The sequence below is a fragment of the Homo sapiens genome, chromosome 3, assembly GCF_000001405.40.
Source record: "Homo sapiens chromosome 3, GRCh38.p14 Primary Assembly".
Lineage (NCBI taxonomy): Eukaryota > Metazoa > Chordata > Mammalia > Primates > Hominidae > Homo > Homo sapiens.
In genome coordinates, this window is record NC_000003.12 from 43840969 (window position 1) to 43855667 (window position 14699).

Genomic DNA, 14699 nt, shown 5'->3' on the forward strand with positions numbered 1-14699 from the left:
TCTCTCTGGAGTCCCCAACAGAATGGGGCCCTCATTGCCTACAGTTATTACCTACTCTTTACCACTCCTTTGATTGGCTTCTCTTCCTTCCCCATCTCATTTCCCCACTTCTTTACTCACTTCCTGGAATCATCTCTCAAATGAACAGCTTGCGCCCAAATGCTTATCTTGAGTCTGCTTTGGGGGAACCCAAATTAAGACAATGAATGTGCATTTGGAAACAATTTGCCTGATGGTGTTTATAGGAGGGGCTGGAAGACCTGCTTGTATAGAATGGTTTGGATTTGTCCCAACAGATGGTCTCCTGTTGACTGTCCTCTGTATCAAGAAAACCATGAAAAGTAAACTCCAAGTATTTATTTTATGAGGAAGTACAATAAGACAACAACAGAGTGGGTTCCAGTTCCAAACCAAGAAATATGTGTGAGGTGTTGCTGGGAAGGCCCCAGAATCTCTCTCTCTCTCTCTGCCTCCCTTTCCTGTTCAGAGAAAATTAGTCCATCTGTCATTTATGCCATGCCATGAGCCCTGCACTGGGGCTCAGGGTATAAATCCTTGTCTCTAAGGGTTCATGATCCCACAGTCTAGACTGATGACAGCAACTTACTCATGACAAAAGCTCTGCCAGGCCAGAAGTCATTGTAGACTCTGGAGGCCTTTGGCATTCTGAGGTGAAAAGTCAGTGGCACAGGCTTCTCAGGGCATCCCACTGTGGAGGGAGAAAAATGCAAGTACAACAGAATTTACTTCATTTCTCTTTGGTGGGATAGGCCTCCTGCCCCACTGCATCAGAGGCTCTTTCTGGTACCCAGAGAGCCCCTTGCCAAAGTGTTGGGGATGAGAGATGGCCCACAACATGCTGGCTAGATGGGTTCCTGAGTAGCCCAGCCAGAAGGTAGCAAGAAGGAGGGAGCCAGTGGAAATTTTCAGGAGGAGCAGAGGGAGTGGGGAAAGGGAAAGACAAGGCTTCCAAAAAAATTTGTACTTTGTATATCAAACTCCTCTTCTTGTATCCAGGAGGTGTGAATCTCTCCTTGGCAGTCTCAGATGAGCGCCTGGTTTCACCTGTGAGAATGAGAGTCTGTGGTGCACACACGACACCTGCACTTATCACATGGGTTCCAGTTAGGAGGAAAGGTGTGCACTTCTTATGTCACTGCAAATGGGGGCTGCTTCTTCTTAAGTCTTCTAGCCCCCTCTTCTCATTTCTCAGTCTGTCCCAGGCCAGGGCAAGTGCTCTCCTTGTGTGGCCAGAGCACATTGCATGCCCTTCCATTCCAGCTTTTTGTCACTCTATAACTGCCTGTCCATGCTCCCCACTCATCCAAGTCCCTTTGAAAGCAGAAACTGCACCAGTCAGCTATTGCTGCAATAATGCTACATAACAAATCACCCCCCTGAAGTTCAGTGCTTAAAACAATCTTTTTTTTTTTTTTTGGTCTCAGTTTTGCGGGACAGCTAGGCTTGGCTTCAAACTGTAGGTCGAATCCAGGTCTGCTCCACATGTCTCCCATCCTCCTCAGACCAGTGGCTACCTGGAGCATGGTTTTCTCATAGTGAATGGCAGGAGCTAAAGAGGAGCCCACCCATGCAGGCACTTCTGAAGCCTCTGGTCACATCACATCCACTCACATCCTGTTGACCAAGCAGGTCTCATGGCCATGCCCCAAGTCAGGGAGTCAATGAAGTACCTTATACCCAAGATAGAGGGGAGGGGAGTGAGGATGAGCTGAACAAAATCCAACCCCTCACAGGGGCCATGGAGTGTGTATTTTGGAAGCCCCAGTATTTCACATGAGACCTGCCACATGATAGGTATTTAGTAAATAATGAATGAATGAGTGAATGAATGAAGACAAGCAAGAGTTGTGTTCTTTTTGCTACAGGTAATAAGGATATGGTACCTCACAGAATCCTGTCACAGAGAGATGGTATTAAATGAAAATAAGAGCTTAGTCTAAAGAGTGGATTCCCACTCTTCCCATAGTGACTATGGCTTTGCCAAGCTATTTGAGCTTCAATGGGAATAATACTCGCTTTATCCGGTTATTGTGAAAATTAAATGAGAACTCTATGTAAAACACTTAGCTCCATGTCTGGAATTTCATAAGCACTTGTAAATATTAGCTATTATTATTATTACTGCTACTATCTTGTGTTCTGCCAGTCAAGGGAAAAAATAAACTAAGATATTGTCAATTAAATGGAGTTGCTCCTGGTCTGGGCATTAACAGTTCCAACCTAACTCAGGTTTGACAAGAGTCTTAACTGGCTCTTTAACAATCTAGACCTAGGAATTGTGGGAGGGGAAGAAGAATATGCATAATAATGGATGATGTGCAAGGGCCTAGATTCTCTCTCTCCCATTTGTGGGTATGGAGGGGTGGGCAGCCAGGGAACAGTTTGCCTAAGGACATCATAGGCACACCCTCTGCCCCAACGCCTGTTGCTAACCTGCAAGGGGCAACAGCATGAGTCTCTTGGGGCAGCTTGGTTAGAGACTATCCATGTCTGGAGTAGATGTGAAGATAGGGTGATGGTCCTCGTCGTGCGCCAGGTGCAAGTGGGCAGGATGACATTTCTGAGCCCCTGGCTGGGCTCCACCCATGTTTTCAAGTGGTGGGGACACCCTGTGCCTGTGGCAAATCCTGCTGGAGAGGTGTCATCCAGAAGAAGGTAAGGAACAAAGACCAGGGATGAGCTCCCTTCCTAGTATGGTAGAGTTAGGTGGATCCTGGCCAGCAGCTAGGCAGGGCAGACTGGGCTGCTGCTGTATCCACAGAAGACCATGCTCCTCAAGCAGGTTGGTGTGGCATGTGTGGATAGAGGGTAAAGCCAGCTGAACTGGGGTGGAGGTGATGAGCAGGTGGCTTCCTTCTGCCACACCCCCAGGGATGCGGGGTAATGCAGGCAATGAACATGATTCTGCCTCTGCCCCTTATGAGCTATATGGCAAGGGGCAATTTTTTTTTCCTTTCCCTGGGTCCAGTGCCCTCATCAGTTAGCAGGGGAGCTTGGGCCCCATACTTTTACTCAGCAACTATTACCTGAATACCCGTGATGAGCCAGTTGCTGTTGTAAGACCCTGGAGATACACCTGTGAAGAGAACAAAGGTTATCAATAAATATTAGATTTGACTCAATATAACAGAAACCCCAAGGAACAGTGCCTTAAACAAGGTAGCGATTTATTTATTTTTGTCACATACAGCAAGTCCGGAGACCTGCAGATAAGAGCTGGTATGGTGACTCCACAGCTACCAGGGACCCAGGCATATTTTATTTCTCTAGTATGATATTCTTTTTTAAAAAATATAATTTCAACTTTTATTTTAGATTCTGGGGGTATATGTGCAGGTTTGTTATATGGGTATATGGTATGATACTAAAGTTTGGGGTACAATTGAACCTGTCACCAAGGAGGTGAGCATAGTACCCAATAGTTAGTTTTTGAATCCTTGGCCCCATTTTCCCTCCCCCGTCTAGTATTCCCCAGTGTCTATTGTTGCCCTCTTTATGTCCATGAGTACCCAATGTTTAGCTCCCTTATAAATGAAAACATGTGGTATTTGGTTTTTCATTCCTGCATTAATTCACTTAGGATAATGGCCTCCAGCCGCATCCATGCTGCTGCAAAGGACATGATTTCATTATTTTTTGTGGCTACATAGCGTTCTATGTTGTATATGCACCATATTTTCTTTATCTAATCCACCCTTGATGGGCACTTAGTTGATTCCATGTCTTTGCCATTGTGAATAGTGCTGTGATGAATGTATAAGTGCATGTGCCTTTTTGGTAGAACGATTTATTTTCTTTTGGAGATATACTCTGTAATGGGATTGCTGATTCAAATGGTAGTTCTGAGTTCTTTGAAACATCTCCAAACTGCTTTCTACCGTGGCTGAACTGATTTACATTTCTACCAACAGTATATAAGCATTCTCATTTCTCCACAGCCTCACCAACATCTGCTGTTTTTTGACTTTCAAATAATAGCCATTCTGACTGGTGTGGGGTAATGTCTCATCATGGTTTTGATTTGCATTTCTCTGATGATCAGTGATGTTGGCATTTTTTCATATGTTTGTTGGCCACTTCTGTCTTCTTTCGATAAGTTCATGTCCTTTGCCCACTTTTTAATGGAGTTATTTGTTATTTGCTTGTTGAATTGTTTAAGTTCCTTATAGATTCTGAATATTAGACCTTTGTCAGATGCATAGCTTGTGAATGTTTTCTCCCTTTCTGTAGGTTGTCTGTTTACTCTGTTGATAGTTTATTCTGCTATGCAGAAGCTATTTAGTTTAATTAGGTCCCATCTGTCAATTATTGTTTTTGTTGCAATTGCATTTGAGGACTTAGTCATAAATTCTTTCCCAAGGCCAATGTTCAGAATGGTGCTTTTTAGGTTTTCTTCTAGGATTTTTATAGTTTGAGGTTTTACACTTAAATCTTTAATCCATTTTGAGTTAAATTTTGTTATTTTCGATTCTTTTATTTTTTATAGTTCAGCTGGTTTCACATCAATTGAGTTAAATTTTATATATGGTGAATGGTAGGGCTCCAGTTTCATTCTTCTGCATATGGCCAGTGAGTTATCCCAGCACCATTAATTGAATAGAGAGTCTTTTCTCCATTGCTTATTTTTGTCAGCTTTGTCAAAGATCAGATAGCTGTAGGTGTGTGGCTTTATTTCTGGGTTCTCTATTCTGTCCATTGGTATATGTGTCTGTTTTTGTACCAGTACCATCAGCATGATGACAGGATCAAGTTCACACATAACAATACTAACCTTAAATGTAAATGGGCTAAATTCCTAAATTAAAAGACACAGACTGGCAAATTGGATAAGCAGACAAGACCCATCTGTGTGCTGTATTCAGGAGACCCATCTTATCTGGAAAGCGAAAAAAAAAAGCAGAGGCTGCAATCCTAGTCTCTGACAAAACAGACTTTAAACCAACAAAGACCAAAAAAGGGAAAGAAGGGTATTACATAATGGTAAAGGGAAGAATTCAAAAGAAGAGCTAACTATTCTAAACATATATGCACCCAATACAGGAGCACCCAAATTCATAAAACAAGTTCTTAGAGACCTACAAAGAGACTTAGACTCCCACACAATAATAGAGGGAGACTTTAACACCCCACTATCAGTATTAGACAGATCGACAAGACAGAAAATTAACAAGGATATTCAGGACTTGAACTCAGCTCTGGATCAAGCATACTTAGTAGACATATACAGAACTGTCTACCCCAAATCAACAGAATATACATTCTTCTCAGTGCCACATAGCACTTATTCTAAAGTCAACCACATAATTGGAAGTAAAACACTCCTCAGCAAATGCAAAAGAACTGAAACCATAACAAACAGTCTCTCAGACAACAGTGCAATCAAATAAAAACTCAGGATTAAGAAACTCACTCAAAACCACACAATTTCATGGAAATTGAACAACCTGCTCCTGAATGACTACTGGGTAAATAATAAAATTAAGATGGAAATCAAGAAGTTCTTTGAAACCAATAAGAACAAAGAGAATGTCCCAGAATCTCCAGGACACAGCTAAGGCAGTGTTAAGAGGGAAATTTATAGCACTAATTTCTCACATCAGAAAGCTAGAAAGATCTCATATTGACACCCTAACATCACAATTAAAAGAGCTAGAGAGGCAAGAGCAAACTAGTCCAAAAGCTAGCAGAAGACAATAACTAAGATCAAAGAAGAATTGAAGGAGATAGAGACATGAAAAACCTTCCAAAAAATCAATGAATCTAGGAGCTGCTTTTTTGAAAAAATTAACAAAATAGATACACTGCTAGCTAGACTAATGAAGAAAAGAGAGAAGAATCAAATCAACCAGACACAATAAAAAAGGGATATCAGCATGGACCTCACAGAAATACAAACTACCATCAGAGAATACTATAAGCATTTCTATGCAAATACACTAGAAAATTTAGAAGAAATGGATAAATTCCTGGACGCATACACCCTACCAAGACTAAACCAGGAAGAAGTTGAATCCCTGAATAGATCAATAACAAGCTGTAAAATTGAGACAGTAATTAGTAGCCTACCAAACAAAAAAAGCCCAGGACCAGAGAGATTCACAGCTGAATTCTACCAGAAATACAAAGAGGAGCTGGTACCATTCCTTCTGAAACTATTCCAAACAATTGAAAAGGAGGGACTCCTCCTGAACTCATTTTATGAAGCCAGCATCATCCTGATACTAAAACCAGGAAGAAATACAAGAAGAAAAGAAAACTTCAGGCCAATATCCCTGATGAACATTGATGTGAAAATCCTTAATAAAACACTGGCAAACTGAATCCAGCAGCACATCAAAAAACTTGTCCATCACAATTAAGCTGGCTTCATCCCTGAGATGCAAGGCTGGTTCAACATATGCAAATCAATAAATATGACCCATCACATAAACAGAATCAAAGACAAAAACCACACGATTATCTCAATAGATGCAGAGAGGGCCTTTGATAAAATTCAACATCCGCTCGTGTTAAAAACTCTCAATAAACTAGGTATTGATGGAACATATCTCAAAATAATAAGAGCTATTTATGACAAACCCACAGCCAATATCATATTGAATGGGCAAAAGCTAGAAGAATTCCCTTTGAAAACCAGTATAAGACAAGGATGCCCTCTCTCACCACCCCTATTCAATGCAGTATTGGAAGTTCTGGCCAGGGCAATCAGGTAAGAGAAAGAAATAAAGAGTATTCAAATAGGAAGCGAGGAAGTCAAGTTGTCTCTGTTTGCAGATGACATGATTTTATATTTAGAAAACCCCATCATGTCAGCCCCAAAACTTCTTGAACTGATAAGTAACTTCAGCAAAGTCTCAGGATACAAAATCAACAGGCAAAAATCACAAGCATTCCTTTACACCAACAATAGGCAAGCAGAGAGCCAAATCATGAATGAATTCCCATTCACAATCGCTTTAAAGAGAATAAAATACCTAGGAATCCTGCTAACAAGGGATGTGAAGGACCTCTTCAAGGAGAACTACAAACCACTGCTCAAGGAAATAAGAGAGGACACAACCAAATGGAAAAACATTCCATCCTCATGGATAGGAAGGATTAATATCATGAAAATGGCCATACTGCCCAAAGTAATTTATAGATTCAATGTTATTCCCATCAAACTCCAATTAACATTCTTCACAGAATTAGAAAATACTGTTTTAAATTTCATATGGAATCAAAGAAGACCTTGTATAGCTAGCACAATCCTAAGCAAAAAGAACAAAGCTGGTGGCATCACACTACCTGACTTGAAACTATACTACAAGGCTACAGTAATCAAAACAGCATGGTACTGGTACCAAAACAGTCATATAGACCAATGGAGCAGAACAGAGGCCTCAGAAATAACACCACACATCTACAGCCATCTGATCTTTGACAAACCCAACAAAAACAAGCAATGGGGAAAGGCTCTCCTATTCAGTAAATTGTGTTGAGAAAACTGGCTAGCCATATGCAAAAAAACTGAAACTAGACCTCTTCTTTACATCTTATACAAAAATTAACTCAAGATAGATTAAAGACTTACATGTAAAACCCAAAACCATAAACCTCTAGAAGAAAATCTAGGCAATACCATTCAGGACATAGACATGGGCAAAGACTTCATGACAAAAATGCCAAAAGCAACTGCAACAAAAGCCAAAATTGACAAATGGGATCTAATTAAACTAAAACGCTTCTGCACAGCAAAAGAAACTCATCAGAGTGAAGAGGCAACTTACAGAATGGGAGAAAAATTTTGCAATCTGCCCATCTGACAAAGGTCTAATACCCAGAATTTATAAGGAACTTAAACATATTTACAAGAAAAAACCTAACAACTCCATCAAAAAGTGGGCAAAGAATATGAACAGACACTTCTCAAAAGAAGACATTTACATGGCCAACAAACATGAAAAGAAGCTCAACATCATCGATCATCAGAGAAATGCAAATCAAAACCACAATGCGATACCATCTCACACCAGTCAGAATGGTGATTATTAAAAAGTCAGGAAACAATAGATACTGATGAGGTTGTGAAGAAATAGAAACGCTTTTACACTGTTGGTGGAAATGTAAATTAGTTTTGTGGAAGACAGTATGGCGATTCCTCAAGGATCCAGAACGAGAAATACCATTTGACCCAGCAATCCCGTTACTGAGTATATACCCAAAAGGATATAAATCATTCTGCTATAAAGACACATGCACATTTATTGCAGCACTATTTACAATAGTAAAGACATGGAACCAACCCAATGCCCATCAATGATAGACTGGATAAAGAAAATGTGGTACATATACACCATGGAATACTATGTAGCCATAAAAAGGAATGAGATCATGTCCTTTGCAGGGACATGGATGAAGCTGGAAGCCATCATCCTCAGCAAACTAACACAGAAACAAAAAACCAAACACCATATGTTCTCACTCATAAGTGGGAGTTGAACATTGTGAACACATGGACACAGTGAAGGGAACAACATACACAAGGGCCTTTTGTGGGGTTGGGTGTAAGGAGAGGGACTTAGAGGTTGGGTTTATAGGCGCAGGAAACCACCATGGCACATGTATACTTATGTAAGAAACCTGCACGTTCTACACCTGTATCCGTATTTTTTTTAGAAGAAATAAAGGAAAAAAAAAGAAAGATGGCTGCAGTCATCCTAGCCATCATTCCGTTATGACATTTAGATGGAGAAGAAAGACAATCTCTTCCTGTGTGACTGCTGATCTTGCTTCAAGTTCACTGGTCCTTTCTTCTGCTATCTCAAATCTGTTATTGAGCCTTTCTAGTGAAATTTTCATTTCTAATTTATCTTGTCATTTTTTTTTCTTTGACCAGTGGGCAATTTAGAATTGTGTTGTTTAATTTCCACATACTTGGGGATTTCCCAGATATCTTTCTGTTGTTAATTTTCAGTTTAATTCAAACTGGTCAGAAAAAATTATCTGTATTAAGTAAATCCTTTCATATTCATTGAGAATTTTAATAGTCCAAAACATGGCTTATCTTGGAGAATGTTCTATGTGCAGTTGAAAGGCATATTCTACTGTTGTAGGATGGCAGGATCTACCAATGTAAATTAAGTCATGTTGTTTGGTAATATGTTTCAAGTCTTCCCTGGCCTCATGGATTCTGAGAAAAGAGTGTTTCCCAACATAATTGTGGGACTCTGAAGCAAAGTCTCCCAACATAATTGTGAATTTGTCTATTTCTCTTCTCATTTCTGTCTTTTCTTGATTTACATATTTTGAAACTCTGTTATTAGATGGATATATATGTAGGATTTTCATGATTTCTTGATGATTCATCATGATTTCTTGATTTGAACCTTTTATAATTTCAAATTTTCCCAGTTTATCTCTGGTATTACTTTAATTGCTAGTATTGAATCCTACTCTGTCTGATATTAACATGGTTATCTAGCTTTCTTATCATTATTAGGGTTTGTATGATATCACATTTCCATCCTTTAACTTTTAACCCATTGGTGTATGTGTTTTTAAATTCTTATAGATAGCACATAGATAAGCTTTGCTTTTTAAATTCTGGTCTAACAATTTCTACCTTTTAACTGGAGCGCTTAGCCAATTTACATTCAATGTAATTATCCATATAGTTAGATTTAAGCTACCATCCTGCTGTTGGTTTTCTATTTGTCCCATCTGTTCTTCCTTCTATTTTTTTCTCTTTTTCTGACTTCTTATGGACTGAGTATTTTTTTAATGTTCTATTATACTGTCACTATTGGCTTATTAGTTATACCTATTGGTTTTTGTGTTTTTAAAAACTTTGAGTTCACAAAATATACTTTTAACTTATTCCAGTGTATATTGAAATCCTATTAAATCACTCTGTGCATAGTATGGAAGAACCTTACCACAGCATACCTCCATTTTCCCCATATATCTTTTGTGATATTATTGTCACACATCTTGTTTACACCTTTGCTATAAACCACACAATATATTATTAGTGTTTTACTCTATACAGTCAACAAAAATGAGAAAAAAAACTACTCATATTTATCCATGTATTTACTATTTCTAACATTCTTTATTCCTTTGGGTAGAGGGATGATATGAGTTTCCTTCTCATATCATTTATTTCTGCCTTAAGAGCTACCCCAACATACTTTTGTAATGCAAGTTTGCTGGTGACAAATTAACTTCTTTGTTCTCTAAGGAAAAATGCTTAATTTTGCTTTCATTTTTGAAAGATTGGGGCATGGGGTATAGAAGTCAAGGTTGATGGAGTTTTTTTCCTTTTCAGTATTTTAACCATATTACTCTGTTTTCTTTTGGTTTGCATAGCTTCGAAATAGAAGTCTGTGAAGTTCATAGCTTTGTTCCTCTTGACATAATGTATTTTTCTACTCTGGTTGTTTTAAGATTTTCTTTCAATCATGGGTTTTTAAAAACTTGATTGTAATGTGTCTTGGTGTGGTTTTATTTGTGTTTATCCTGCTTGGCATTCATTCAATTTCTTGGACCTATGGGTTTACAATTTTCATTAAATATGGAAAATTTTGGCTGTATCTTCAATTTTCTTCTGTCTATGCAATCTCCTTCTGGGATTACTGTATACATATGTCAGATTGCTTGATATTGTCCCATAAGTTGCAATTTTATTCTTTATTTGTTTATTTTGGCTCTTTCTCCTCCTGTGCTTCATTTTGAATATTTTATATCACTGCGTCTTCAAGGTCAGTAAACATTTTTTCTTCAGTCTAATCTGCCACTAATCTCTTCCAGTGAATTTTTTATTTCAGATATTTTATTGTTTATCTCTAGAAGTTTTATTTGTTTTTTTGTATCTTTCATTTCAATCCTTATTGTGTTTCTGCCTTCTTTTGAATCCTTGAAAATCCTATTAAAGATCTTGTCTGCTAATCCCGCAATCTCTATCTCCTCATGCCTGTTTCCACTGTCTGAATTTTCTCCTGGTTTTGGGCTACATTGCTATGTTTCTTCATATATCTAATAAGTTTTGACTGGATGATGTATATTGTGAATTTTTCATTGAGCGCTGGATTTTCTTGTGTACCTTTAAGGGGTGTTGAACTTTTTATGGCATGCAGTTATTGGCAGATCAGCTTGATCCTTCTGAGGTTTGTTTTTAATCTTTTAAACTTTCTTAGGGTGGGTCATGAATAGCTTGAATTCTAAGTTTGTTTAGCCCATTGCTAAGATGTGATTCACCTGAGGTCTCCACTGAAGGCCTGAGAGTCTGAGAGCTCTTTTACTCTAGCTAGTCAGAATTTGGTCGTCTGTCAGCCACATGTGAGCTCTGCAAACTGTTCAGCTTACAGCTCCCTGGTTGCTCTTTTCTCAGCTCTGTGGATCTTCACTCTATGCTTATATGATTTAGTGTTCAGTAACAGATTCAGGGGATCTTGTGCAATTTTCTGGAGCTATTTCTTTAAGCAGCTTCTTCCTCTCCAGTACTCTGCCTTGCAAATTCTAGCCCCTTCAGCATTTCTGAACTGCAATTTCATTTCTTCAACTCCGAAAGAGCTATGCTCTACTTGAGATCACCTTTCCCGCAGAAAGTGCCTCCAGACAGAAAGTCAGGGTGGTAACAAGCTCATTTTGTTCTATCTTTTTCGGTGTTGCCCAGTGTCTGAAAACTCTTGCCTTATATATTTGGTTTGTTTTTTTAGTTAACAGTGAGAAGATAAGTCTAGTCCCAGTTACTCCATCATGGCTAGAAATAAAATCACCTAATAATCTTTTAATATCCATATCACTTAGCATAATTCTACTTATACAGTTCAAATATTTTTGAATAAAATATTAAACATTTCTTTGCTGAATTATTACTCATAAAATATTCATGCATTTGTGTTTTCACGACATTGTACTAAGCACCATGGAAGTTTGCATTTTATGGAACAATCTCTTCCTAAAAATTTCATCTGATTAAAATGTAAGAGAGATTAAAATGTATTCACAAGTAGCATAAAATAAGATTAACTGTGCATACAAGTGTGGTTTTAGATGCACTTAAAACAAGTCACACTTTCACAGCCATTTAAATCAGCCTGATGGGGTCTCATAGGAGGTGAGGGTAGGGAATAGAAGCCAGCCATGTCACTGGCAGACGCGAAATGGAGTCAAGAATTGTTACTCATTTCCATAGATGGTCACTTAGCGGATCTGGAAAACAAAAACAAAAACTGCTCCAGAAGAATCAATCTACTGTATTAAGTATTTCTTCACAGATTCTGTGAGGGAATATCTTTGTCTGTTCTGAGGGAACTACTGTAAATACAGCATCACACCATTCAAAAGGAAATTTGCTTACATATTCTTGGAACATTTGGAAGGTTTTTCCTTTTTGCTTTGTAAGAGTAAACAGACACTATGTGAATTTTTAAAAAAACTTTTCAAAACCTAGCTGGGTGTGGCGGTACATGCCTGCGGTCCCAGATACTCAGGAGGGTGAGGTGGAGAACTGCTTGAGTCCAGGAGTTTGAGGATGCAGTGAGCTATGATCGTGCCACTGCACCCCAGTCTGGGGGACAGAGTGAGACCCTGTCTCTAAAAGACAAAAGAAAACCTTTTCAAAAACTCTTTTCTATTGAAGGCAATCAGGTGTAAATTTTTCTTTCTCTGAAACTCTAAACAACTCCTTAATGTCACCTGGGCCTAACCATATCTCCACCCTCAATTCTCCTCACTCTCCCTTTCACCCCTCACTTGCCTCAGGGCTTTTGCACATGTTTGGGAAGCTCTTCCTCTCCCATCTTCCCCTCCCTTTCTTACTTGGATAGCTCTTTGTAATTTTTTATGTTTCAGCTTAACTGCCTCAAAGAGGCCTCCCAGGATCACCCAATTTAATAATACTGTTCCTTTCATTCTCCCCCCAAGGACTATTCTTTTCCTTCAGATAATGAATGCTGGTTCTTCCTGGCCTGTTTGCCCTCAGATCTATGGCCTCACCCTTTCCCTGGCCAGCTCTATATCTCTGGGGAGTGACCCCTGTGATCAGACTTGCTTTCCCAGACTACCTTGCTTTCTGACTTCTGCAGTGGCTAAACCTTTGGGAAGTACTGATGGACATAAAAAAGGCAGGAGGAAGAGAGAAGGTGAAGTTTTTCTTCCTTCTCTTGTAGTTTTGATTTTACCTGCCCAAAGGCTGAAGATCCCCTTGTGTCTTCCACTCACACCAGGCACCCCCTTTTCTATGGTCTCAGTCTCCCTTGGGCAGCTCCTGTCTTGGTTCCGGTTCTCCTCAGATGGTACCGGGACCTGCACTCTGATAACATCACCTCTTCTCTTTGTCCCTTTGTTGAAGGACTTCCTGCCGTGAACCTCTGGGTTCCTCCACTATCCCAGACTTTCTTGGCACTTTCATTACCCAGATAAGTAACACATTCCCTGCATTCAATTCCCTCTGCTCTACATATTCAGTTTCTCCCTTTCTGGTTGAATCCTGACTGATACAGTATCAAATTGTAGATCATTGGCTAGTGTTACTTTCAATCTAATGTCTGAATACCCGCCCCTGCCCACACACACATTCCATGAGAACAAGAACAATATCTATTTTCTTCACTACAGAATCTCTAACACCCAGCACAGTGCTTGGCTTTGGGTTGTTGCCCAATTAATATTTATAGAATAAATGCTTGAAAGGGAAGGTGGAAGGGATGAAATCAAATTTACCATCGGTTCCAGGTGACCTGAGTATGCTCCTCCCGCTGCTTCTGTCCTGTGGATGGGGTGAGTGGATCATAGAGAGCAGTCCTTCATGGTTATGCAAAGAAGTTTTCCTGTGAGGAGACCAGAATGCTCAGCTTTGCTGCTATTATTATTTTCTCTTTTCTTTTTCTTTTTTTCAAATTCAACTTTAGTGGAAAGAAAACTTTCTCATTTCCCATTTCAGCTCACTGAATTATTCATCAAAAATGTTCTGCTGGTATTTCCTCCTCTGTCAGAGTTCTGCCGTTCCAGAAACACTGCCCTGGAGTTGCAATCAGAGCAATTAGCAGCCCATTACGGGATGCGCCTGTCCATGCCCTCAGGTTCCCGACCTGGGGCTGTGCTGATGGAGAGCCAGCACTACCATGGAGTCTGATGCGTGTAGGCTGGCCTGAGCTCCTAGCCCCATTAATTGATGGGGAGCCCAGCAGGATCTTCATCTTCCTTTGCCAGGATCAGCTAATCAAGTAACCAACACGCTAACAGCTCAGGACTTTAGCTAACACCACCCTCTTATCTGACAAGCTGATTCCATTGGACCTCAGTTTCCTTAGCTCTAGAAATGGAAGGACAGCCCTTGACTGCCTGCCTCACAGCACCATTGTGGCTGTATGGGCCCACCTTGACTCTCAGCTCTGTCCACTGCTGGGGTTCCAAAAAGCTAGGCAAATTGGTCAAATGTGCCTCTAGAAGTCGATTTACCTCTAAGGATGATTTCTCTCTAGAGGGTGTTTCAGTTTTGTTACAAGCTTGTCCCTGTTACACAACTTCCATCCCTAGAAGGGAGGACAGATTTCTGCATTCCTCCTGGTGTCACTCATCTGCATCTGTCCTCAAACCCACCCTCAAGGACCCATTTCTGTGTCCTACTTGTAGCACTGAAAGATGAAAGAGCTCCACAGCAGCTCTTTGGGTAAAATAAGAGAGATCATCCT

At 39.8% G+C, this 14699-nt stretch overlaps 1 long non-coding RNA gene across 1 annotated transcript in view, besides 1 other annotated feature; it reads right to left on the bottom strand.

The window, feature by feature from the left end:
- Positions 1-3032: 3032 nt before the first annotated feature.
- Positions 3033-14699, bottom strand: part of LOC107986081 (uncharacterized) — a 68253-nt gene continuing 56586 nt past the window's right edge. Inside the window, exons 2-3 of the long non-coding RNA XR_001740673.1 lie at positions 13729-13835; positions 3033-3097 (exon numbers count right to left, since the gene is read on the bottom strand). This is a non-coding gene — a long non-coding RNA (uncharacterized LOC107986081). The remainder of the gene's footprint in view (positions 3098-13728; positions 13836-14699) is intronic.
- Positions 13754-14255: an enhancer, noted in NCBI's record as "NANOG hESC enhancer chr3:43896214-43896715 (GRCh37/hg19 assembly coordinates)". NCBI's record gives its function as "activates a minimal SCP1, AML or CMV promoter by ChIP-STARR-seq in primed H9 embryonic stem cells {active_cell/tissue: H9 hESC(primed)}" and the evidence as "EXISTENCE:reporter gene assay evidence [ECO:0000049][PMID:30033119]".